General features: G+C 40.8%; 1 protein-coding gene across 11 annotated transcripts in view, besides 3 other annotated features; it reads left to right on the top strand.

Annotated features, from left to right (window-relative positions):
- FBXW11 (F-box and WD repeat domain containing 11) overlaps positions 1-26,850 on the top strand; it is a 145,090-nt gene that overhangs the window by 5,401 nt on the left and 112,839 nt on the right. For 4 of the 11 annotated variants that reach the window (NM_001378977.1, NM_001378979.1, NM_001378976.1 and 1 more), the window contains one exon: positions 4,187-4,348. The exons of the other annotated variants lie outside the window; for them this stretch is intronic. The gene's annotated coding sequence lies outside the window, so the exon portion shown is untranslated. Of the gene's footprint in view, positions 1-4,186; positions 4,349-26,850 lie in introns of those variants that run through there. 11 annotated transcript variants of the gene reach the window in all.
- Positions 11,598-11,737: a silencer, noted in NCBI's record as "silent region_16613". NCBI's record gives its function as "represses an Ori minimal core promoter by ATAC-STARR-seq in GM12878 lymphoblastoid cells {active_cell/tissue: GM12878}" and the evidence as "EXISTENCE:reporter gene assay evidence [ECO:0000049][PMID:35858748]".
- Positions 17,283-18,055: an enhancer, noted in NCBI's record as "H3K27ac hESC enhancer chr5:171410187-171410959 (GRCh37/hg19 assembly coordinates)". NCBI's record gives its function as "activates a minimal SCP1, AML or CMV promoter by ChIP-STARR-seq in primed H9 embryonic stem cells {active_cell/tissue: H9 hESC(primed)}" and the evidence as "EXISTENCE:reporter gene assay evidence [ECO:0000049][PMID:30033119]".
- Positions 20,266-20,834: an enhancer, noted in NCBI's record as "OCT4-NANOG-H3K27ac hESC enhancer chr5:171407408-171407976 (GRCh37/hg19 assembly coordinates)". NCBI's record gives its function as "activates a minimal SCP1, AML or CMV promoter by ChIP-STARR-seq in naive H9 embryonic stem cells {active_cell/tissue: H9 hESC(naive)}" and the evidence as "EXISTENCE:reporter gene assay evidence [ECO:0000049][PMID:30033119]".

Genomic DNA, 26,850 nt, shown 5'->3' with positions numbered 1-26,850 from the left:
TCCTCAGCACATGGGTGCTCAATATGGATTTAAATTAATGTTAGATTTTCTTTCTTTCATGCAGTGAAACCTTTTAAGATTTCCTTTTGAATATCTTAAGACAAAGGTAGAGATGAATAGAGAAGAAAGATGGGGAGGGGGAAGAGGTGGGTGGTGTGTTGTTTATAGGACATCCATAGACATATTAACCATTATTTACAGACTTTCCACACATACAGATTGATTTACATAGAACTCAGAGACTGGTTGTTAGCAAAGAACTGAGGAAACTGAATACTTTTTGCATCAGTTGGTGCAGGTTTGCCAAATAGTTGATAAGCTCCAAGGGCTCCATGACCTTAGAAAAGCATGGTTTAGCAGAAAGGGCATGGGCTTTGAAGTGAAACACCTGAGTTTGTATCCAAGCTCTGTCGCTTGCTAGCTGTGTGACATAAAGAAAGGTAACCTTTCTGCAGTATGATTTGATTATATGTAAAAATAAATAAGAAAACTTAGGTATTGGTCTGAGTTGTTGGGAGGATTATATGAGAGATGTGTGTGAAAGGACTTTGCAGAGGCTTGCTTTTCTTCAAATGCTGACCATACTAACTTTCCCCACAAGTACAGGGACCCTAAAGCGAAGTCAAGACCGATGGTGTGGAAAAGGTCTTTCTCCTGAGTTGCGCATGTATTTATTTGTGAGGCTTTACAGAAGACTAACATTTAGTTGCTTTTAGCCATACATTTAATGAGCCATCTTTGGGAAAAACAATGAAATCATGCAGAGTCAATACTGTCTTGGAAAATCTGGGAGGTACTATTTCAATGACTACCAATTTGGCGTAATTAGATCTATGCTGTAACTACAGAGAGAACCCACCCAGTCCTATTTTTATGCCTGGTATCCTGACAGAAAGAGACTGGTGATTAGTTTATATTGACATTGAGCATTGGGATTTATGTTTGATCGGTTTAGTTTAGACTGACCAAATTGTGGTTTTTGAATTCTTATTCTTACCATCATCAAAGCTGATGGTTTTAACCTTAACAGAATAAGCAGTGAGAATTCATACAAGATTTTCTTCTGAGTTGTATTGTTCATTGAATTAGATGACAATGGGGGAAGAAACGTGTTGGTTAAGAATGTGCTCGTTACCCTTGGTTAGTTTCTGCTGATCGCAATTGCTTAAGAGGAAGTTTGTCTTTGTAGGCAAATGAGAGACAGACCAGGAAGACCTGACAATCCAGTAGGGTATCTCTTACCTGGTTCTTAGTGTTTTAATGAAACTAAAAGATGGAAGAGTTCTGTGATGTCAGCGGGAAGCGTTTTTAGGAAATTCCCTCTCAGGTTGAGTTAACAATGAAGAGCTTCACAAAATGGAAAGCTGTGAAGTATAAACACTGGGACATTAATAGGAAAAATAAAAAAAAAAGCTTTGGCTCTTTGGCTTGTGATAGAGAGGTGTGTAAATATAAGCATATTGAATGTAGGAAACCATTGTATAGTAAAAAGCCTCTGATCCACAGAAGAAAAAGAAAGACTGAGGTTCTACTATTGTGAAAAAGGAACTTGAGTAATTTTTAATGTTTATTTTTTTAGGAGTTAACTGGAGAACATTGAACCAGTTTTGGTAACTAACAATAAAATATATTTTGGCCCTCTGAAATGACTACATGATAGATTCAAAGAGAAAGGGGGCAGAGGGGCAGGAAGAACTCAGTCCTGACACTACTCACCTGGCATCTGTTAATCTTTGTATTACTAGCATAAGGCCTGCCAGCAATTAGGGATTGAAGAAATATATATATACAATTAGGGATTGAAGAAATATATATGTGTGTGTATATATATATATATTTTTTTTTTTTGAAGGGAAGGGAGAAAAATTAACTCACTAGTACAGGGGAAAAGCCTGAGGATTCAAGAGGTCCAGAAATGAGTCTGTTAGTCAAATTGCTGTGGTTGTGTTTTGCTATAACTTGTTTTGCATTTTGGATAGTCGTACCTTGAAAAGCATAGTATACTGTTTTAGCAGTTCGCTACTAGCCATAGTTCCCTAGCTACTTCTGTCAAAATTGGGTTTCCAGTTTATTCTTAGGCTTAGGAGTAATACCACTTAATGGGAAAAACTTGAGAACTCATTATTTGCTTGGGATTTTACTTTTGTGATCTCCTTAAAGTTGTGAGTCTTAAGGTATTTTCATCTGATTGTTATGGCGAGGTTAATCATAGACCGGTATTTCAGTCACTTTAATTGCCTTACCTACAATATGAACAATCAGAACATCTTTAAGAGTCATTGCCTGTGGACTGTCAACAAATCTTAGAATTTAAAAATTACTTGGGTTCAGCTGGATTTGAGATTCTTTGTCACAGTTACAATCTTTGCTGCTAAACACAAAGACTACTTGAGTACCATTATAGTATGTCTTGCCACAGTCTTTTTTTTTTTTTTTTTTTTGAGACGGAGTCTTGCTCTGTTAACCAGGCTGGAGTACAGTGGCACGATCTCAGCTCACTGCAGCCTCTGTCTCCCGGGTTCAAGTGATTCTCCTTCCTCAGCCTCCCGAGTAGCTGGGATTGTAGGCATGTGCCACCAGGCCCGGTTAATTTTTGTACTTTTAGTAGAGATGGGGTTTCACCATGTTGGTCAGGCTGGCCTCACACTCCTGACCTCAAGTGATCTGCCCGCCTCGGCCTCCCAAAATGTTGGGACTACAGGTGTGAGCCATCGAGCCCAGCCTATAATGTGTTTTGTTTTAGCATTAATATTGTGGGCTTTAGGCTGGGCATGGGGGCTCACACCTGTAATCCCAGCCCTTTGGGAGGCCAAGGTAGGCAGATCGCTTGAGCTTAGGAGTTCGAGGCCAGCCTGGGCAACATGGTGAAACCCTGTCTCTACTTAAAAAAAAAAAAAAAAAGACAAGAAAAAAATATCATGGGCTGTAGAATTGCATGGCTCTTTGTTAATTAAATGCTTTTTTAAGTGGCAAGATCTAGGGAATTACCCTTTCAGGATGGCCCAACTGATTCATGTAGGCTGAAATATTTACTCTTCTGTATTTTCATTGTTCTCCATTTTGATGTTAATTAATTTAGGACCTTTGAGAGTAAAGCTTGATTTCTTCTCCTCTCTCAGAAATCATGGGCTTTCTGACCCTTGAACTGTGGAGTCCATAGTGCTCCATGAAAAGGGCATGGGCTCTACTACCTAGTAGATGTGGGACTTTGGATAGGTTACTTCTTTCTGCTCATCTTTTTTTGAGAATTAAATATGGGTAATTAATGTAAAGGGCTTGGCCAGTTAGTAGCTTTTCAATAAGGTAGGTATTACTATAATTACTGCAGGAGCATTTTGGCTATAATGTAGCAATTGTGGAAGTAGCAAATTTATGTTCGAGTAAGTTCAGTCTTTTTGTTTTTATCTTTGTTGTTCTGCTGAATGCTTTTTCTCTTTCCCTTTTAGTTTGTTTAGAATTTGCAGTCTAATTTGATATGGTAGAAAAAGAATATTGATATAATATGGACAGGACTTAATATTTAATGGTGTCACCTAGTAAATTGTATATTAGCGTTCTTTATGATTTTTCCCAGTTTACGTGATCATTGGCCATTGTACGGGACTGGCCTTTACTGAGTCAGAAGTTCAGTCTTCAGTTATATGTTTTGAAGCACACTATATTTTAGCTAAGGGTAGAGGATTTGGGTAATATGTAGATATGATGTCTTATATGTAGCAAACCAAAACATTTTGTTAGGTACGTAAATAAATATCTTTATGGTAGATATTTGAGCCCTCTCGTATCATTCTTTTTGGCTGACAAACTATTTTTCTAATGGTGGAGGAGCTGTCTTAGAAAATGGATAAGGAAGTTCAGTGTAGCTGAATGGTCTAGGACAATTTATATGGATGATAGGGTAGGTATTTTTTAGCTGCTCTCATTTGGAAGTTGCATGCTGTTTATCATGAGTAAATATTAACATTAGGGATGTTCCATTATTTGTTACGAGTTTTGTATCCTTTCAACACAGAGGTGAGGAATGCTGCTGCAGGCATTTTATGCCAAATAGCTGACTCAGGGGTTATAACTTTTTTCCTGTGCCTCAGATCCACCATTCCATTGACCCTTCCTTCCATTTCTTGGAGGCTGTCCTTTGCCGCTGGTGCCATGGTGGGTGTATGGATTGCTTTCTGTCTTTCAACAGTTACCGAAGTGCATGTTTGGGATTTTGTTGAAGAAAGCTGGATACAGTAAACGGAAAGAATCTTGGAAGATGCTTGACTGCTGTCTTTTCTCAGACTAGTCTGAAAGGGAAAACCCCCATTCATTCTGGATTGGTGGATCTGAAGTACAAAATATTTTCCAGGTAAGCAATTACCCTGTATTGTTTTGTTTTGTGGAACTCAACTCGCTGAAAGAAATTTTGAAAAATATTTTCCCTTATTTATTTTGTCCATTAATAGGGAAAGGGAGAAATATTAGACGTTTGTGCGTAGTGTCATGTTTGGCCATGTTTGAGTGTGGATCAGTGAAGGTCTATGTGTCTGAATTCCTGGTAAAAACTTTGTTTTACTGTAAGAAGTGCAGTTATTATTATCTTTGAGACATCAGGTCGCCCAGGCTGGACTGCAGTGGCACAAACATGGCTTACTGCAGCCTTGACCTCTTGGCCTCACACGATCTTCCTGCCTTAGCCTCTCAGGTAGCTGGGACCACAGGCACATGTCACTATGCTCAGCTAATTTCTTTTTTGTAGAGACAGGGTCTCACCATGTTGCCCAGACTGGTCTTGAACTCCTGGGCTCGAATGATTTGCCTGCCTTGGCCTCCCAGAGTGTTGGGATTACAGACATGAGCCACCACGCCTAACTCAGTTATTTTTATTGTAAGCCCAAATAGTTTTTATTCATAGTCTAATAGGAAATACAGTAAACAGAGACATATGTTGTTTAGGGAATAGCTTGTAAAATATGGAAAACAAATGGTAACTTTGAGGCATTCTCACATGATTTATATAATAGTTAATACCTGGTCAAAATATTTTTTGCGGTTTCATGTAAAGTGGTGATATTTTATTCTGAGGTCTCTTGGCAGGTCGTCTTGGGGAGGTTTACTAACTGTAGCAACTGCTTATTGAGAGCGAGTGCTACATGCCAGTTACCCTTGTATGCACTTTACATATATTACTTAATTGGCACAATGCTTCACCTGCATTTTACAGCTAGTGAAATGGAGCTCGTAAGCATAAACTGCCAGTTACTCAGGTCATACAGCTAGTAAATGGTAGAACCAAGCTTTAAGCTTGGGTTTAGGTGTCCTCAAAGCTCTGACTCTTTCTGTCTTACTACACTTGCTGAAGTTTGTACTTTAACCTTTAGATTTTCAAATTGCCTGTCTGCAAGAGCAAGGTGTGATTTTCTACAACACGTTTCCACTCAAAGAACACATGGTGGGTCATTGTTTGGCATGGTATTTTAATAATTTAATATGATTTTTTTTTTTTGAGGCGGAGTCTCGCTCTGTCGCCCAGGCTGGAGTGCAGTGGCGCGATCTCCACTCATTGCAAGCTCCGCCCCCTGGTTCATGCCATTCTCCTGCCTCAGCTTCCCAAGTAGCTGGGACTACAGGCGCCCACCACCACGCCCAGCTAATTTTTTTGTATTTTTAGTAGAGATGGGGTTTCACCGTGTTAGCCAGGATGGTCTCGATCTCCTGACCTTGTGATCCGCCCACCTCAGCCTCCCAAAGTGCTGGGATTACAGGCGTGAGCCATCACGCCTGGCCCATTTAATGTGATTAAATGCCACCGCGCCCAGCCCATTTAATATGATTAAATGCTTGCTTACTGAAAAATCAGATCTTCAGTCAGTTCATCAAGTGAATGTAAAGGTAATTTAGGGAGTATAGGAGAGACAATGCATTTAAATATCAAGATGTGCTTTATACAGGGAAGTATCATTTGGTCCAGTGAACTCAAACCTATATCTTCTCAGTTCCTCCTCAGTATTTATTATTTAAATAGCTCAGTAGTTCATTATGTAGACTTCTTTTGGCCTGTGGTTTGTCATCCTTACAAGTAAGGCATTGTCAGGCAACATTCTTGAAAACATGACTTTTTTCGGTATTTAATATTCTTTCTGGAGAACATCCTACTCCCTTTCATCTTAAAAAAATTTTCTTTTTATTGTAGACGGACATTCTGACTTCGTGATCCTTGTTTTAATTTAATACTTTCACATTTGCTAATATTTCTCCTCTGGTGAGATTGTGGCTCACTGCAACCTTTGCCTCCCAGGTTCAAGTGATTCTGGTATCTCAGCTGCCTAAGTAGCTGGGATTACAGGTGCGTGCCACCATGCCCAGCTAATTTTTGTATTTTTAGTAGGGATGGGGTTTCGCCATGTTGGCCAGGCTGGTCTCAAACTCCGGGCCTCAAGTAATCTGCCTGACTCGGCCTCCTGAAGTGTTGGGATTACAGGTGTGAGCCATTTTTCACTTTGTCTTCTGAAGGATAGTCAGGACAGTCTGGTGGTGGTGGTGGTGGTGGTGGTAGTAATGGTACTAGTAGTAGAAGTAATAGTTAATACTGGGTACTTATTCTTTATTGAGCATGATTCTAGATATTTTATACATATAAACTTTTTTTTATCCTTATACAGGTTGAGTATCCCTTGTCTAAAATGCTTGGGATCAGAAGTGTTGAGAATTTTGAATTTTTTTCAGATTTTCAAATATTTGCTGTATACTGATTCAGCATTCCTAATCTAAAATCTGAAATCTGAAAAGTTTCAATGAGCATTTCTTTTGAGCATCACGTTGGCACTCAAAACGTTTTGGATTTTGGAGCACTTTGGATTTTGTATTTTTGGATTAGGGATATTCAACCTGTAGTAACCTAATGAGGTAGGTACCATTATTTCCCCCCTACTGGTGAGGAAACTAAAGGGTAGAGTGGTTAAATAACATGCTTTAGGTCACACATCTTGTAAGGGACAAAGGTGAGATATGAACCCAGGCAGTCTGGCTTCAGAGAATGTGCTTCTTACCTCTGTTCTATATTACCTGTAGATTAGAGTATCATCCAGTGATAAAGGGGCAGAAATCCTAAAGACTAAAACTATATATTCTGATTTCAAGAAATCATTGCAAAAGGAAACAGTTTTATATATTTCTTACCTTCTGTAGAAAACAGTCTAGCTCTCAGGTTCTGCATTAGCCATCTCGGGCTGTCAGGCTGTTTCCTAAGGCAACTTGGAATAGGTTAGTTTGAGGTTACCTTTTAGTACAGTGCTGTCCCATAGAACTTTCTGCAATGATTGAAATGTTCAGTGTCTGCACTGTTCAATATGGTAGAGGTTTGAAGTGTGGCTCAAAGTAACTGAATTTTTAATTTTAATTAAATTGACATTTAAATAGCTACATGTGGAGATTTATAATTTACCATCATCCTAGATCTGGTCCTTGGTTTAACACTCACAGAAATTTGATCTGCTCAGCATGCCTAGACATCCCCTTATCCCAGGGTTGGACCAACATTAACCAACTTTACAAGACTGATGTGTAAAACCTAAATTTTAATTTATTAATTTACAGTGATATGTGTGTTGGCATGATTAGTATATTCTTTTCTTTTCTTTTTTTTTGAGACAGAGTCTTCGCTCTGTCACCAGGCTGGAGTGCAGTGGCGCGATCGTGGCTCACTGCAACCTCCGCCTCTCAGGTTCAATCGATTCTCCTGCCTCAGCCTTCTGAGTAGTTGGGACTACAGGCACGCATCACCACACCCAGCTGATTTTTGTATTTTTAGTAGAGAGGGGGTTTTACCATTGTTGGCCAGGATGGTCTCGATCTCTTGACCTTGTGATCCACCCGCCTGGGCCTTCCATAGTGCTGGGATTACAGGTGTGAGCCACCACACCCAGAGTATATTGTTTTTTGATAGGCAGATTTACTTACTAGGTCCTAATTAATATGCTAGTTTAATTTTTTCAAACAAGTCAGAGAGACCTGAAGACTCAAGCCAAATGACTGGAATATTCTCTTCATATAGGAAGACTCCATCAGGGAAGTAAGACGTCTGTTGGCCTGGGACTGAGACACCCTCATTCAGCTTACTTTTAGGGATGGTGGTTTTTCCCTGTGGTAAAGCCTCTTCGTTCACCTCTTCTGCTTGCTTTTGCTTCCCAGATCCTTTTATGATTAAGGCATTTGTTTTTAGACAGATTAGTACATTCAGCTTGAATGCACACTTGACTTACAGGTTTGGGAAGCCCTTTGTTTTCCTTAAGGTTCCTTTATCACTGCTGTAATCCATTTTGTGTTCATTTTCAACTCTGAGAAAACAGTTGAATTTTCCTTGCTTCCTTGTGGCCTCTTTATATTAAAGTGAGTTCAGTTTGGGTTATGGTGAATTTGAGTTGCCTATGGATGGATTGTCTAAGAAGAGAAGTATCTAGTAGGAATATTGGCCTGGAGTTCATTAGAGAGGGCAGGGTTAGAGAGAAATATTGGGGAGTTTTTAGGTGCAGTGGTAGCTGACTAGACTTTAGTACAGTTACATGATTACTCAGAGTATAGACTGAAGAATGTATGTATTGGTGTATGGGAATGGCAACATAAAGGAATGGGCTACAGCTAAGGTCAGAACCTGAGATCATATGTCATGTTGACCAAGAGGTGTTATTACTACCCTCTCCTCTCTTCCTTTCCTTTCCTTTCCTTCTTTTTCTTTTTCTCTTTCTCTTTCTTTCTCTCTCTTTTCTTTCTTCCTTTCTTTCCTTTCTTTCGTTCTTCCTCTCTCTCTCTCTCTCCCCCTTTCTCTCTTTTTCTTTCACAGAGTCTCACTCTGTCACCTAGGCTGGAGTGTCATGGCATGGCCTCGGCTCACTGCAGCCTCTGCCTCCTGGGTTCAAGCGATTCTCCCACCTCAGCCTCCTGGTAGCTGGGACTACAGGCACATGCCAACCCACCCGGCTAATTTTTTTATTTTTAGTAGAGACGGGGTTTCACTATGTTGGCCAGGCTGGTCTGAAACTGCTGACCTTGTGGTCTGCCTGCCTTGGCCTCCAAAAGTGCTGGGATTACAGGCATGAGCCACCGCATCCGGCCTCCTTTTTTTTTTTTTTTTCTTTTTTTCTTTTTAAGATGGAGTCTCACTCTGTTGCCCAGGCTGGAAGGCAGTGGTGCGATCTCAGCTCACTGCAACCTCCACCTCCTGGGTTCAAGTGATTCTCCCACCTCAGCCTCCCGAGTAGCTGGGACTACAGGCGTGCACCACCACGCCCAGCTAATTTTTGTATTTTTAGTAGAGATAGGGTTTTGCCATGTTGGCCAGACTGGTCTGGAACTCCTGACCTCAAGTGATCCTCCCACCTCGGCCTCCCAAAGTGCTGGGATTACAGATGTGAGCCAACCTCCCGGCCACACCCTCTCCTTTTCATCTTGACCTGAGAATTTTGTTACAGCCTGCTATTACTTACTCCTAGTCAGCAAACATTTGGGTTGTGACTTTCTCTTCTACTGTAATAGTTTGCTTAATTTTTGAAATGTGTTTTTGAGAACGTATCTTATGTACATTTATGCAAACTCAAATTTTATGCATCTGGTGACAAAAATAAGAGAAACAGAACCTGAACAGTGAAGACTGTGGATCAAACGTTAAGATGGGAAATGGGAATCTGTTCTTTCAGTCTGTCTTGAGTCCTGAGTGCGTTTTAGCTTGCTGTGATATGTGTGCTTATGGTATTTTAAAGACACACACTTTTAACATCACAACGTGAGGCCTAAATACAAGCCAGCTATTTTATCTGCTAGTCAGTTGAAGAAACTGTGAACTGTTCCAATGCTGGAGTAAAAATTAGTGGTGTTAGAATTATTGAGATGCTGTGTTGGTCTCAAGTATGGCATATCCTTAAGGGATTTTTGAGGCATATTTTTGTCGTATGCTATTTTCACCTTACATATTCACTTCAGACCCTAATTCCTAGGCCTCCTGCGACTCCACTGTAACTAAGTTTTGATAGTGAAAGCATGGAGACATGAAGAGTTCATTATAGCTACAGTCAATCAATACTCGACAAATTTTTTGAATGAATTACTATATCTGTGATACAAAATTAAGGTACAAAAGGGGCTGGGTGCCATGGCTCACTCCTTTAATCCCAGCACTTTGGGAGGCTGAGGCAGGTGGATCACCTGAGGTTAGGAGTTCAAGACCAGCCTGACCAACATGATGAAACCCCGTCTCTACTAAAAATACGAAAATTAGCCAAGCGTGGTGGCATGCGCCTGTAATCCCAGCTACTTGGGAGGCTGAGGTAGGAGAATCGCTTGAACCCAGGAGGTGGGGGGTTGCAGTGAGTCAAGATTGTGTCATTGTACTCCAGCCCAGGCAATAGAGCAAGACTCAAAAAGTGCAAAAGGGAGTAACCAGCGAAAAAAAAAAGTTTCTCATTCCTTCTAGCCACCCAACTACATTCTTGTGTAACCTTTCTATACATACGTGTATCCTGTACACATTATTTTTGCACCTTTTTTTAAGTAAAATATGACTCAGTTATCTTTCATATCAGTTCCCAAAGAGCTGTCATATTTTTTGAGGAGATAATTTAATTTAAAAGATACATGCTGATTTATTGTACAAATATGCCATAATTTGGGTAACCAGTTTGGACTGATGCATGTGTAGATGATTTCTAGTCTTTTGCTGTTACAGTTAATGCTATAAAGAAGAACTGTGCATATGGAAGGTATCTTCAGGACAGGATCTTGGGCATACTGACTAGGTGCTTTTATAAATCTGATAGACATTGCCACATTGCCCTCCAGTCACATTGCAGCAATTTATACTCTCACAGATCTTGAGTAACAGTGCTCTTATTTCCTGACAGTCTCATGGTATTACATGAATTTTAAACTGTTTGCTTTTTAAATTGTTCTTCTCTTTTTCCTCCATTAACTTTTTATTATGAAAAATATCATATACATCTAAGAGTTGAGGTAAAAAAGTATAACATTTATATACTCTCTTGACCTAGATTCAACAATTGTTAACATTTTGTCATATTTGAGTCATTTCTCTGCTACCCCCCTCCCTTCTCTTCCTCTTTCCCCTTCTTCCCTCCTTCCCATTTCTCTCCTTTTCTCCTTCCCTCTCTTACTCTGTCTTTTCCTTCCTCCCTACCTCCCTTTTTTGTTGTTAAAAATTTGAAAGTAAGTTGCAAACATCATAATACTTAACCCCTAAGTTTTCAGCATGTATCTCCTAAAATAAGGATAGTTTCTCTCTCTTTGTCTCAAACCATTACATGCATACACACAACCATATCTCCGTGTATACAACCACATTATATATAATCACATATACTTTATGCATGTGTAACCACAATACTGTTTTCACATCTAAGAAAATTAAAGTAATTCCATAATATAATATCAAGCATCAATTAAATCTAAATTTTCCTAATTGTCTCAAGAATGTCTTTGATACCACTCTCACTTCTTTAAAACAAACAAACCGACAAAACAGGATCCAAACAAAGTACATCCTTTGTATTTGGTTATGTTTCTTGTACTCTTTTTTAAGAACAGTTCCTTTACCCTTTTCCTTCCTTTGCCTGCATTAACTTGTTTGAAGAGACCAGCTCTGGTTGTCTTGTAGGATGTGTAACCTTGTGCATTCATTATTTCCTCGTGGTGTCATTTAACTGGTTTCTCTAGCTCCTCTACTTCCTGTAAACTGGAAGTTAATTGAGATGCATCCAGGTTAAACATTTTGACGAGAATGCTTCATCATAGGTGAAGTGCAGTTCACATTGAGTCATATCAGGAGGCACTTAATGACGGGTTATCCCGTTATGAGCAATGCTAACTTTGATTCCTTGGCGCAGCCAGATCTCTCCATAATGAAGGTAAAATTTTCTCTTCTGCTATTAGAGAGGAATCTATGGGACACTATTTTGGCACCTTGTAAATACCCTGTTTCATTACAGCCTTTCACTCATTGGTTTCATTATCCTGATCCTGAAATCGGTTATTACAATAGGGGTTGCAAAATTGTAGATTTTTTATTTTATTATTTTAAACAGAGTCTCACTCTGTTGCCCAGGCTGGAGTGCAGTGGTGCAATTTCAGTTCACTGCAACCTCCACCTCCTGGGTTCAAGTGATTCTCCTGCCTCAGCCTCCTGAGTAGCTGGAACTACAGGTGCATACCACCACGCCCGGCTAATTTTCATATTTTTAGTAGAGACAGGGTTTTGCCATGTTGGCCAGGCTGGTCTTGAACTCCTGACCTCAGGAGATTCGCCCACCTCGGCCTCCCAAAGTGCTGGGATTACAGGCGTGAGCCACCATGCTGGGCCAAAATTGTAGTATGAATGTATGTGTGTATGTATATATTTATTTATTTATTGAGGTGGAGTCTCGCTCTGTTGCCCGGGCTGGAGTGCAGTGGCGTGATCTCAGCTCACTGCAGCCTCTGCCTCCTGGATTCAAGCAATTCTCCTGCCTCAGCCTCCTGAGTAACTGGGATTACAGGCACCTGCCACCATGCCTGGCTAATTTTTGTATTTTTATTAGAGACAGGATTTTGCTATGTTGGCCAGACTGGTCTCAAACTCCTGACCTCAAGTGATCTGCCTGCCTTGGCCTCCCAAAGTGCTACGATTACAGGCGTGAGCCACCGTGCCAGAATTGTAGTTTTTAAATTGCCACTCCCACAGGCTGCCCCCATTTTTCTTCCTTCCTTTTTTATATCACCATACTCTCCTGGACTTTTATTTATTCAGTGTTAACAATCAATTACAGTCTTTGCTAATGCTCAGATTGTCTCAGGTTTGGCTACTGATAACTTTTTCTAGGTAGCTCCTCCTGTTTCATTTTGACATGACCCCATCACTGTTTTTTTTGTTTGTTTGTTTGTTTTCCCTTGGCTTTTTTGGCACAACAAGATGTCCCAGACTCACCTTATATTTCCATAAGGTGATCAGGAATCAGCCATTTCTCCAAGGCTCTGGTTCTTTTTAGTAAGGAATGGTATTTAGAAACTAAAATCATTGCCATGGGTTGTCATTGCTTCTAGACCCTTTCAGTGGACAGAACTAAGAAATATGTTTAAAAAGAACCGTGAGTTCATGTTATTTCTGATTCAGATGTAATATTAGAGAGACTTTTTTCTGACTCTGTTAGCCTTTTAATTTTCCAAATCTAAGGGACCTTGTCGGTATCATGGCCCCATCAAATTGAGATACACATTGTTACTTAAATAGGCAGATAAATAGTTTCATCCATTCATTATTGAGCATGTACTCTGTTCTAGGTATTGTTTGGGGAATACAGAACAGAATCAAATGCATACCTTGCTTCCAGAAGCTTGTAGTCTTTTACATAAAAAAGTATACCATAGTGTGAAAACTTGTAAGGATCACGGGAAGTAGACAAACAGTGTTGTAGGAGTTAGAAAAGGAAGGAAATTTCATAAGGGATATTTTAAAAACTTACCCTTGGCCGGGCGCGGTAGCTCACGCCCGTAATCCCAGCACTGTGGGAGGCTGAGGTGGGCGGATTACCTGAGGTCAGGAGTTTGAGACCAGACTGACCAACATGGCGAAACCCCGTCTCACTAAAAATACAAAAAAAGTAGCTGGGCATGGTAGTGGGTGCCTGTAATCCCAGCTGCTCGGGAGGCTGAGGCAAAGAGAATCGCTTGAACCCGGGAGGTGGAGGTTGCAGTGAGCTGAGATTGTGCCACTGCACTCCAGCCTGGGCAGTAGAGTGGCACTCCGCCTCAAAAAAACAAACAAACAAAAAAAACCCAAAAAAACTTACCCTTTGAGGCTCGAGCAGAAGTTAGACGTAAACATGGATGTATTGGGATAGTGGAGCTTCATAGCAAAGGGAACCAAGTGAACAACGGTTTGCAGACAGTGGTGTTTGTTGTCTATCTGGGAGACAAGTAAGTAATTCTGTGTATTGCCGGAGTATTGCTTGTGTGGAAGGGAGTATGGGTGATGAATTTGAAAAGGCAGGTTATAACTAAATCTTGAACTTTATCCCGTTAGGTCATTGGTCTCCAACCTTTTTGGCACCAGGGACCAGTTTCCTAGAAGACAGTTTTTCCACAGACCAGGCACGGGGAGTGGGGATGGAACTGTTCCACCTTAGACATCAGGCATTAGCTGGATTCTCTTAAAGAGCATGCAACGTAGATCCCTCACATGCGCAGTTCACAGTAGGGTTCCTGCTTCTGTGAGAATCTAATGCCTGGGCTGATCATCTGACAGGAGGCAGAGCTCAGGTGGTAATGCGAGTGTTAGGGGACAGCTGTAAATACAGATAAAGCTTTGCCTCCTGCTCATCTCCTGCTGTGAGGCCCAGTTCTTAATAGGTCACAGACTGATACCAGTCCACAGCCTGGGGTTGGGGATCCCTGCTTTATGTCATAAGATGCAAGCTAATAACCTGTGGATAGGTAGAGCTTCACAAACATATTTTATGTGGTCCACACGGATTTTTTTTTTCTTTTTTTTTTGAGACGGAGTCTCACTCTGTTGCCCAGGCTGGAGTGCGGTGGCGCCATCTCGGCTCACTGCAACCCTTACTTCCTAGGTTCAAGCGATTCTCCTATCTCAGCCTCCTAAGTAGCTGGGACTACAGGCGCACACCACCATGCCTGGCTAATTTTTGTATTTTTAGCAGAGATGGGGCTTTGCCATGTTGGCCAGGCTGGTCTTGAACTCCTGACCTCAGATGATCCATCCTCCTTGGCCTCCCAAAGTGTTGGGATTACAGGGGTGAGCCACCACACCTGGCCTGGTCCACACGGATTTTATTTATTTATTTATTATTTGTTTTTGAGACAGAGTCTCACTCTGTCACCCAGGCTGGAGTACAATGGTGTGATCTCACTGCAACCTCCACCTCCCAGGTTCAAGTGATTCTTAGGCCTCAGCCTTCTGAGTAGCTGCAACTACAGGTGCATACCACCATGCCCGGCTAATTTTTGTATTTTTAGTAGAGATGGGGTTTCACCATGTTGGCCAGGCTGGTCTCAAACTCCTGGCCTCAAGTGATCCACCTGCCTTGGCCTCCCAAAGTGCTGGTATTATAGATGTGAGCCACCGCTCCTGGCCAGATTTTAAAAATTGGGACATTTCATATGAAAACACTAATTTGTGGTTTTGTTTGAAAATTGGAGCTCAGTAGTAGCTGTCCTTTTGAGTCAGAGCTTGTACTTTCCTGTACGTAACTCCTATGAGACCAATTTCACTTTATCTAATTGGTCATATACATTTTTAATTTTTATTTTTTTGGGTCAGAATCTTGTTCTGCCACCCAGGCTGGAGTACAGTGGTGTGATCATGGCTCATTGCAGCCTTGACCTCCTGGACGTAAGCTATTTTCCTGCCTTAGCCTCCCAAGTAGTTGGGACTGCTGGTGCATGCCACCATGTCTGGCTAAGTTTTAAAATCATATTTTATTTTTCGGTACAGGGTCTTCTTGCTCTGTTCCCCAGACTGAAGTGGTGCAGAGGTGCAGTCATAGCTTACTGCAGCCTCTAATTCCTGGGCTCAAGCCATCCTCCCACCTCAGCCTCCAAGTAGCTGGGACTACAGCAGCATGCCACCATGCCCAGCTAATTTTTTAATTTTTTAATTTTTTTTTTGTAGAGACGAAGTCTTGCTGTGTTGCACAGGCTGGTCTTGAACTGGCTTCAAATGATCCTTATCTCTCAACCTCCTGAAGTGTTAGGATTATAGGTGTGAGCCACTGCATCTGGTCTATTTTTATAATTTTTTTTAGATACTGGGTCTCACTGTTGCCCAGGCTGGTCTCAAACTCCTGGCCTCAAGCAATCTTCCTGCCCAGGCCTCCTGAGCTGTTGGGGTTACAGGTGTGAGCCACATGTAAGTTTTTGAGCGTGTGATCCCTGCCTAGATTGGAGGAGGTATGAGGGTGGTGGATGTGGTTGAGAAGGGAGGTGACTGTGAACATTAGAGCAAGATCTGTGGTTTACAAAGATCACTCCAGTTGTCAGATTAGAGGATGCTTTAGAGCAGGGCAAATTGGAGCAGGGGGACTGATTCATTTACTGTTGGAATGTCCCAGGGAAGGAAAGATGAGATAGTAACAGATGGTATGAAGAGGAGGAAATGAGACATTTTAGATGTAGAGTGGATGACTGTGTTGATAGCTGTGCGTATATGTGTGTTTGTATTGATATGAATGTAAATCAGACTATTAAGAGAGTCCTGTTTCTGAAAAGCTTTGCCTTCATAAATCAGTGTCTGAAAGTTAACTGCTTGTTTTTATAACCTGTTGGTTAATTTTGGAAGGCAGTAGTAATAGTTTTAGGCATGTCGTCACCGTAAAGCTTAGTTTTATAATATGCAAATAACATGCTTCTGCAAAAAATGTAACTTCGACCTGCCTTTATTTTTGAAAATTGTGCATAAAGTAAATATTTATAGTGCGATTCTTTTTTTCTATAATTTTCCTTATAATTATGGAGCTAAATTTTTAAACAAGATTGGAAAGCTATATACTTATTTTTAAGGAGCTTGCTGCATGTATTTAATTTTCCTACAATCGCTACTAGAAGTTAAAAGGATAGTGAATTCATAAGGTCCTTTCCCCCACACTTAAAATTATACCATATTATGATCATCTAGACTGTTTATAACTATTTTGTCAGAAATTCTCCCTGATTGGAGCATGACTTTATCTAGTTCCATTACCGGTGCCATTATTCTGGATATTTAGTATTACCTCCAGCCCACACATGCTGAGGGAGATAGACATGAAGTACATGTAAATGGGTAGACTAGAAGTGAGATTGACTGACAAGCCATGCCTGGCTACTGTGTAATAAGCTTCCGGCTTTGGAGGATAAACAGAGATTGGTTAAAAGAGCATTTGTATAGGTATGTTTTATTGTGTATAACTTACATTAAAGAATACATGTTTTAAGTGTACAGCTCAATGAATTTTTACATGTGTGCACAGCACATCGTGTAACCACTACCTAGATCAAATTATAGACCTTTTCCAGAGCATTTCAAGGCTTCCTCTTGCCTGTAGCTCATCCAGTCAATGAACTCTCTTCTTAAAGGCCTTTTCTGACCTCTTTCACTGTAGGCTAGTTATGTCTGTTTTTGAAATTTATGTAAATAGGATTATAGAGTATATACTCTTGTGGTTTTGTTCCCCCACTCATTATTATTATGTCTGTAAAATTCATCCGTTTTATTATGTGTGGCTGTAGTTTTTTTTTTTCTATGCATTATTCCATTGTAAATATTCAGTTTGTTTGTTTTACTTGGTTGATGAAATGCTTGGGTTGCTGAGTACTTGGCTGTTATTGATGAATACGTGAGTTGCTTCTAATTTTTGTCTGCTACTGTGGACAGCAATTCTAAGGTAGACATGAGCACTTGTTTCTCTTGGGTATGAGAACCCAACAGAATTACTGGGTAATGGGGGTAGGCATATATTTAGCTTTAATAGATACTGCTTGTTTTGGGAAAAACTCTCAAACCATGTTTTTCCTCTGCTCTCAAACCAGTACAACAGCAGTCATGAACACAGAAGAAGGCTTCTGTGACCAAATGTGTGGGAGTGGGTTTCTCTCCACCACTAGTGAGCAATCAGTTCTGCAGCGGGCACCAGCTGTGTGTTCCCCAATTCAATTCCGACACAATCTACCTAGAGATAGTGTCCGATCCCACAGATTGAGGGCTTGGTCCCCGAGATTGCCCCCCTACCCCACATACCAGTGGCAAGCCTGGGCTTTTGTCCTTCTGACCAACTTGCTTCAAGTTGGGGTTCCCGCTACCCATACTGTGGGTTCAATTAATTTGCTGGAAAGGCTCACAGAATTCAGGGAAACAGGTAACATTTACCAGTTTATCATAAAGGATATTATTACAAAGGATATAGATGAAGAGATGTGTAGGGTGAGGTATGGGGCAGAGCTTCCATGCCCTCTGTGAGTGTGCCACCCTCCAGGAACCTCCACCTGTTCATCTGTCTAGAACCCTGTCCTCTTGGTTTTTTTGTTTTGTTTTGTTTTTGAGACGGTCTTGCTCTGTTGCCTAGGCTGGAGTGTAGCGGCACAAACAGCTCACCACAGCCTTGACCTTTCGGGCTTAAGCAATCCTGCCTCAGTCTCCTGAGTAGCTTGGATCACAGGTGTGCACTCGGTTAATTTTTCATTTTTTTGTATAGACCAGGTGTTCCATGTTTCCCAGGCTGGTCTCAAACTCCTGGGCTCAACTGATCCACCTGCCTTGGCCTCCCAAAGTGGTGGGATTACAGGAATGAGCCACTGCTCACATCTTAGGTTTTTATGGAAGCTTCATGACATCGGCATGCCTTCCCCTGGGGTATAAGGCAGGACCCTCTCTGCAGAGGATCTTAAAGATTAGAGTCGTGCCTCGGGTCAGGTCAAAGGAGGGCTGGAGAAGGTCACCGAGATTCCGTTTCCTGAGGCCTAACTTACCTAACATTATAACAAAACACTGTAACAAGGGCTGTGGGAGTTTTGCTGCATTGGATGAAAACCAGTATGTATGTGTCATAACACCACACTGCTAAACTGTCTTCTAAATGTCTGTACTCCAGTTGGTTCCATCTCTAATGTAGAGCATTCTAGCCATCACTTGGTATTTTTAGTCCTTTAAAATTTAGCCCTTCTGGCTGGGCGTGGTGGCTCACACCTGTAATCCCAGCACTTTAGGAGTGGATTGCCTGAGGTCAGGAGTTTGAGACCAGCCTGACCAACAAGATGTAACCCCGTATCTACTAAAAATACAAAATTAGCTGGGTGGTGGTGCATTCCTGTAATCCCAGCTACTTGGTGGAAGGCTGAGTGAGGCAGGAGAATTGCTTGAAGCCAGGAGGCGGAGGTTGCAGTGAGCTGAGATTATGCCATTGCATGCTAGCCTGGGCAACAAGAGCAAAACTCTGTCTCAAAAAAATAAATAAATAAATAAAAATAAAAATAAATAAAATAAAATTTAACCCTTCTAATGGGTGCGTGGTAGTATCTGTATTGTGGTTTCTGTTTTTTATTTAATCAGCTTTATTATGGTTTACATTCAATAAAATCCACTCATTTTAAGTGTACTGTTTGAGTTTTGAGAAATATATATACTCACATAACCACTACTGCTATCAAGATATGGAACATTTCCGTCACCCCAAAAAACTTCCCTGTTCCCCTTTTCAGTCATTTCTCTGCCCCAGCCCTAAATAACCTGCCTTCTATAACTATAGATTAGTTAAATATGTTCTGGAATTTCATATAAGATGGAATCATACAAGATGCACATACTGTATGCACTCTATTATGTTTGACTTATCTTAGATTCATTCTTGTTGTATCAGTTCATTCCTTTTTATTGCTTAGTAGCATTGCATTATATGAGTATATAACTGTTTACCAATTCTACTGATGGATGTTTAGGCTGTTTCCTGCGTTTGGCTATTATGAATAAAACTTGGGTGAGCATTTGTATTCAGATCTTTGTGAGGACATCTTTTTTCTCTTGGGTATACTTAGTAGTGGATTGCTGAGATAGAGTAAATGTAAAGGAACAAACTATTTTTCTATACGCTAACATCATTCCTGACTCCAAATGTTTTTTGTTTCCACACCAAAGCAATTCTTCAGTTATTTGCAGACACCAACTGGGTGTCCTGTAGTTCAATTCAATTCTGACTGTATTTACCTGGAGCTAGTGAGATCCCTTAAATTAACCAAAAGACTGCCCCCACTTAAGGTGCCAGTCACAAGTCCTAAGTTGCCAGGGTACTTTTGGTTATAACTTGAGGGGTCTCATGATCACCTGCTCATGTTCAGTAATTTGCTGTAAAGGCTCACAGAACTCAGGGAAATACTTTACTTACATTTATTGGTTTTTAAAAAGAACATTATAAGGGATACAACTGAATAGTCAGACTAAGAGGTATGTAGGGCAAGGTCTAGAAGGGTCCTGGGTGCAGGAGCTTCTGTCTCTGTGAAGTTGGGGTATACCATCCTCCTGGTAGAGGCATATGTTTGCCATCCCAGAAGTTCTCTGAACCCTGCCCTTTAAGATTTTTTTTTTTAATGGAGGTCACATTACCTAGGAATGATTAATGATTAATTAATGATTAATCATTGGGCATTGGTGATTAACTCAATTCCTAGCTCCTCTCCCGTCTCCAGTCCCTTTCCTTTTCCCGGAGATGGTGGTGGGGGCAGTGAAAATTTGGATCATGGTTCCTCTAGCAGCCAGCCCCCATCTTCCAAGAGTCACCTTATTAGCATAAACTCTAGTATGGTTGAAAGTGGCTTATTTTGAATAACAAAAGATGCTCCTCTCAATACTATCACTCAGGCAATTCCAAGAATTTTCGCTTTTGTGCCAGTAATGGGGGTCATCAGGGCAGCAAAGATCAAATATATGTTTCTTATGTCACAAGATGTATATTTTGTGTTTCAAGAAACTGCCAGATCTTTTCCCAAAGTGGTTGTACATTCTTATACTTCCTCTGGCAATATGAGTTTAGTTGCTCTACATCCTAGTCAGCAATTGGCATTGTCAGTCTTTTTAATTTTAGCCATTCTCATAGGTGTGAAATGGTATTTCATTGTGGTTTTAATTTACATTTCTATGTGCCTATTGCCCACTTGAATATCCTTTTTAGAGATACGCCTTTTTTGACTTTATAAAAAAAATTGAGTTTTCTTCTTACTAATTTATGAGTCTTTTTATAGTCTGGAAATTAGTCCTTTGTCAGATGCGTATATTGCAGACATCTCCTGTTTTGTGGCTTGCCTTTCCACTGTCTTAATCATGTTTTTTGATGGATAGCAGGTCTTAATACTAATGAAGTCCAATTTTTTATTTCATGGTTACTGTATTTCATGTCCTGTTTGATAAATTTTAAGGTCTTCAAGGTAATTTTATTTATTTCTAGAAGTCTGTAAAAAGTAAAGTAGAGGTTTGTCTTCAAAGACTTTCCTCCCCATCTAGTTAGGAATAAATAGTAACTTCTCTTAAAAGCAAAATTTATTCAAAGACCTGTACCATCATTCTTAAATATCTGCTAGCTGTAATAAAGAAATCAATATACTTTATGTTCTTAGCTCCCACAATTTAGCTTAAGTATTTGCCCTGGCATGCTTATACTGGTCCAAGCAAGCATTAGGTCATAGCCTGTTCCTCTTCCTTATTTGAAGGTGTTTTTACCTTTCTCAGCATTCCACAAGTTACTTCCTTCTTCCTTTGTTCTCCTCTGCCTTTGCCTCTTTTAAAAAGTTCTAAGTTGCTAGCCAATCGGGACAAATACAAAATGTGAGGTCCTGTTCCAGCCAATTGAAACTGGACACGGCAGTAGGGTGGACATGTCAGGTTATAAATGACCCTGTCTCGTTTGTTCAGTGTACTCTCGTGGCTAAGCTGCTGGCGAGTGTACCCTTTCTGCAGAAAATAGAAAAATGGCCTTGCTGAGAAAATTAAATTTATGTTCAAGTGCCATTTCTTTACGGCACCAGGGAACAAGGCTTTCAAACAAGTCTTAGGGTTTTACTATCTCAAAATAATTGTTTTTTATGGTTGCGGTAGGGATCAAAGTTCGTTTTTCCCCCATGTTGTTAACCAGTTAGTCCACCACCATTATTTACACATATATTAAAAAATAATTGCAAAATTATTGAATAGGAACTTACCTTTTTTTACAGAAGCAATTCACATTTATTATAGAAAAAATGAAAATAAATATAATGTAAAATAAGATGGAAAAATGTAATGAAAAACGTAAAGTAAGATGGAAAAAGAACAAAGTTTCCATTATAACTACTATTAATATATGGTATGTATTCTTCCCTTCCTTCATCTATACATATACATGTACATATGTATGTATGTATGTATGTATTATGTATGTATATATTTATTTTTTGAGAGAGGGTCTTTGTTTCCCAGGCTGGAATGCAGTAGCATGATTGTGGCTCATACCTTGACCTCCCAGGCTCAAGTGATCCACCTCAGTTGACTGAGTAGCTGGGACTACAGGCATGCAACACCATGACTGGCTAATTTTTGAAGTTTTGTAGAGACAAAATATAGGGTTTTTGTAGAGACAAAATGGGGTCTCCCTATGTTGCACAGGATGGTCTCTAACTTTTTTTAAGAGCATGAGTATTTCATATAGCCAAAGGTTTTACCCACTGTTCTTAACCTTTATGAACATGATGTGACATGACAGACTATATTCTCTGCATGAAACATGCTTTCTTCATGTTTATGCCATTTTAGGGTTTTAATAAATCAAAAAATCTCAGTTTAATTAAAGATTTAAAGATTTAAGTTACTAGTGACATTGGATGTATTTTTCTAATGTTTGTGGCTATTCGTATTTCTTTTGTGAAGAAAGAGAAGTGTTAAAATTAGCTGTAGTTCTGCTCTGCTGCTTCTAGGTGCATGGGGGAGTGTAGCGGAAGGAAATCACTAGGGTGAGGAACTTCTGATTTTGTCGTGACTGGGGCACTGCTGCTGCCCTTTTGTGATTGAAATGGCCATTTTTGTTAAAAGCCAGCTGTGGAAGTGTTTGCCTCACTCTGCATACTGTCCATGGCAAATGGAAATTGGGTCCCTTCTCTGCGTAGACTCTGGCTCTGGATGCTCTCTGTGAGACACTTTAGGATCAGTTGCTGTTGGCTTCACTGACAGCTTCAAGGACTCTCACTCCTACTACTAGCCTTTGCTGCTTTGAGGTGGGGTTCTGTTGGGAATTCCTTCCCCTTCTCAGGTGGGCTTTTATTTCTTAATATGCACTGAACCCTATTTCTCGTCCAGTTTTTTCCTGTATTATGTTTATAGAAATACCTTGAAAAAACTTATATATGTGGAGGGCACCACTGGACAGGTTTCAAGTGCCAATGTAGTTTGTCTTTTACTTTGATATTCCTTTGATGATTTTGGTTGCATCAGTCAGTAACCCCAACTTTGACACCTCTGTTTTCCTCCTGAGTCTTGTCTATTTTTGCTCTTTTTCACCCTCGCTTTCTGCACTTGAGTCACAGTGATTTTTTTTTCTTTTTCTCTGTTCCTCTGAACCTGCTTGAGGGTTACAACAAGCATTATAATTTGTTCTCATTATTAGGGAGGGGTCACCCTTTCTTCCTTGTCTAGTTAACCTCTGCTTGTCCTTTAGAGTTGAGCTGAAGTGTCAACTCCTTAGGAGCCATGCCTGGGTCCCCTAGGTACCCTTATAGATTAAGTTCCCTTGTCATGCTCTAGCAGCAGTCAGTTCTTTTTTTATTTTTACAGCTGTTAATGTAACTGTAGTTTACAAATTGATATGGTTTGGCTGTATCCCTACCCATATTTCATCTTGAATTCCCATGTGTTGTGGGAGGGACCCCGTGGGAGGTGATTGAATCATGGGAGCAGGTCTTTCCCATGCTGTTCTCGTGATAGTGAATAAGTCTCACGAGATCTGATCTTTCTTAAAAAGGGGAGTTTCCCTGCACAAGCTTCTCTCTCTTTGCTTGCTGCCATTCTACTTAAGATGTGACCTGCTCCTCCTTGCTTTCTGCCATGATTATGAGGCCTCCCCATCCATGTGGAACTGTAAGTCCAGTTAAACTTCTTTCTTTTGTAACTTGCCCAGTCTCAGGTATGTCTTTATTGGCAGCATGAAACGGACTGATACACAAATGTATTGCGTAATCCCCTGCTAGACAATCAGCTCTTATTAGAAAGTAATCTCCATGGGGGCGAGGATCATATCTGTTTTGTCATCTTCAGTTCATGGCATATTCATTCCCAGCATCTGTCTTAGTTTGTTTTGTGCTGCTATAACAAAATACCTGAGACTGGGTAATTTATAAAGAACAGAGATTTCTTTCTCTTCCTCTTTCTTTTTTCTTTTCTTTCTTTCTTTTTTTTTTTTTTTTGAGACATGGTCTTGCTCTGTTGCCCAGGCTGGAGTGCAGTGGTGCAGTCATGGCTCACTACAGCCTCACCTTTCTAGGCAGGGTTCAAGCGATCCACACGTGCCACCATACCCGACTAATTTTTAAATTTTCTGTGAAGGTGGGGTCTCCCTATGTTGCCCAGGCTGGTCTTAAACTCCTGGGCTCAAGTGATCTTCCTGTCTCATCCTCCTAAATTGCTGGGATTACAGGCGTGAGCCACCCTGCCTGGCCAGAGATTTCTTTTTTTTTTTTTGAGTTGGAGTTTTACTCTTGTTGCCCAGGCTGCACCATTTTGGCTCTCTTCAACCTCTGCCTCCTAGGTTCAAGCGACTCTCCTGCCTTAGCCTCCCAGGTAGCTGGGATTACAGACATGCACCACCACACCTGGCTAATTTTGTGTTTTTAGTAGAGATGGGATTTCACTGTGTTGGTCAGGCTAGTCTCAAATTCCTGACCTCAGGTGATCCACCTGCCTTGGGCTCCCAAATTGCTGGGGTTACAGGCGTGAACGACCACACCCGGCCCAGAGATTTATGTCTTAGAGCTCACCTGGAGGCTGGGAAGTCCAAGGTTAAGGGACCTGAATCTCAAAAGGGCCTTCTTGCTGCATTATCCCAGCAGAAGATGGAAGGGCGTGAGAGAGCTTTGCTTGATAGAGCAAGAGATTGAACTTGCAGCCTGAAACCCTTTTATAATTGGCATTAATCCATTCATGAGAGTGGAGCCCTCATGACCTAAACACTTACCATTAAGCCCCACCTCCCAGCACTGTTAGATTTGGGATTAAGTTTCCAACACATGCTTTTTGGAGGACATATGCAATCCATAACAGCATCTATCACAGTGCTTGCCAAGCAGTTGCCCAGTCGAATGAGGGAATAAATTTGGAAGAGCAAATGAGAATTACTATCTTATATCAAAAGGCTATTTCTACTTCCAAAGTGAGTATATTTGCTACTTAAACTCTTGGTGTTTTCTGTTTCAGTACCATCTCGTAATTGACTTGATCCTGAAAATTAAATAATTGGCATCAGAAACTTCTTTCAGAAGTTGAAAAAGCATCCCCTCTCCCCTCTCTGGTTCTAAACCAGATTTTAAAACTGTCGTTGACTTGTAAGTCGTCCAGATAGTTTTATCTCACTGTTACTTCAACTATCATTTTGAAGGAGTTGTCATGGCCTTAACTGCTGCCTTCCCCTCCTTCTTCCTCCCTTCCTCCCCTCCCTCTCTCCATCCTTCCATCCTCATGTGTTTTAGTGATTAATAGGTTGATTATTCCTGTGAGTTGTTAGTAAATGCTGTATATAGTCTCCTTTTGGAAACTCACCTGATAATCATCATTTTAATAATGTGTTTCCCAACATTTCCCAAACTTTCTGATCCCAGAATTCCTCCCCCCATATATTTGGTTCGAAATCTGTGTGATCCAAGAGACACACTTTTGGAAATGCTATTCTTTATGATTTTTGTTCGCCCTAATCCCTTTTATTCACCAAGAGTTTCTCTTGTCATCCTGCCAAAATAAGGAGGGAGGAGAGAACTAGTATTTGTTAAATACCTACTGTTTGCCAGATTTACACCCCCTGTTTCTTTTAACCTTTACTGTAACCTTGAAAGGTAGACTTGTTTTCCACATTTTAGCATGGGAAGAAGTAGGAACTGGAGGTGATTAATTTTTGCCCAAGGTCACGTAGATAGCAAAGTGATAGATTTTATTTACTTACATTTTACTTATTCATTTTTACTGTAATGCCTGTGCTCTTTCTCACACCAGCATGGGGTAAGAAAAACTCTTCTGATTGTTCTAGAGGCCCCACCTCTGTAATAACCACATCTTAGCCAGCAGCACTCGAGAGAGCCTGAGGCTCAGGAGCAGCAGGATCTCCAGGCTGTGGCTGGCCAGCAGCAGATTCTCTGCATTTGGGTAGATTGAGAAGAAAAGGGGGAAGCCTTGACTGCCTCTGCCTAAACTGCCTCTGTAAACTCTCATGTTCCTTCCCTTCCTTGTTCTCCCAGCTCCATTCTTTTCTAGTGGCATATGGCTTCTTTGTTGGAGTTTTAGGTTGATTTTTATTTAGTAATTTCACAGCTATTGTTTATTGGATGTCTCTTTTAATATAGCAGGTCTTGTACCTCTCCAGCCATTTAAACAGCTGACTCTTAGGTTATATAACTTGCTTGAGGTCACATAGTATTGCCAGGCGTGGTGGCTCACGCCTGTAATCCCAGCACTTTGGGAGGCCGAGGCGGGTGGGTCACTTGAGGTCAGGAGTTCGAGACTAGCCTGACCAACACAGTGAAACCCTGTCTCTACTAAAAATACAAAATTAACCGGGCGTGGTGGCGCGTGCCTGTAGTCCTAGCCACTTGGAAGGTTGAGGCAGGAGAATCACTTGAACCTGGGAGGTTGAGGTTGCAGTGAGCCGAGAAAGTGCCGTTGCACTCCAGCCTGGGCAACAAGATCGAAATTCTCAAAAGAGGTCACATAGTGTTAGACTTGGGATCTTAACCAACCTTTGCATGTTTTTTTGACAATGATATCTCTCTCTGTGTTTTTAAGAGATGAGGTCTTGTTATGTTGCCCAGGCTGAAGTGCAGTGAATATTTATAGGTGCAGTCGTAGCACACTGCAGCCTCTAACTCCTGGCCTCAAGTGATCCTCTTGCCTCAGCCTCCTGAGTAGCTGAAACTGTAGGCATAGGTTATGCTCGGCTTCTTCCTGTTTTTTTTTTAGCTTCAAGAAATTTATGTATAAGGGAAACTTATAAGCAATTAAAACCTATAAAATCATGTGTTTGATGTGCTACCTGTATATATGTGTGTGTGTGTGTATTTTTTTTTTTTTCTTTTTTTTGAGACGGAGTTTCGCTCCTGTCATCCAGGGTGGAGTGCGATGGTGTG

Source organism: Homo sapiens, chromosome 5, assembly GCF_000001405.40.
Source record: "Homo sapiens chromosome 5, GRCh38.p14 Primary Assembly".
Taxonomy (NCBI): domain Eukaryota; kingdom Metazoa; phylum Chordata; class Mammalia; order Primates; family Hominidae; genus Homo; species Homo sapiens.
This window is presented reverse-complemented; position numbering and strand designations above follow the sequence as displayed.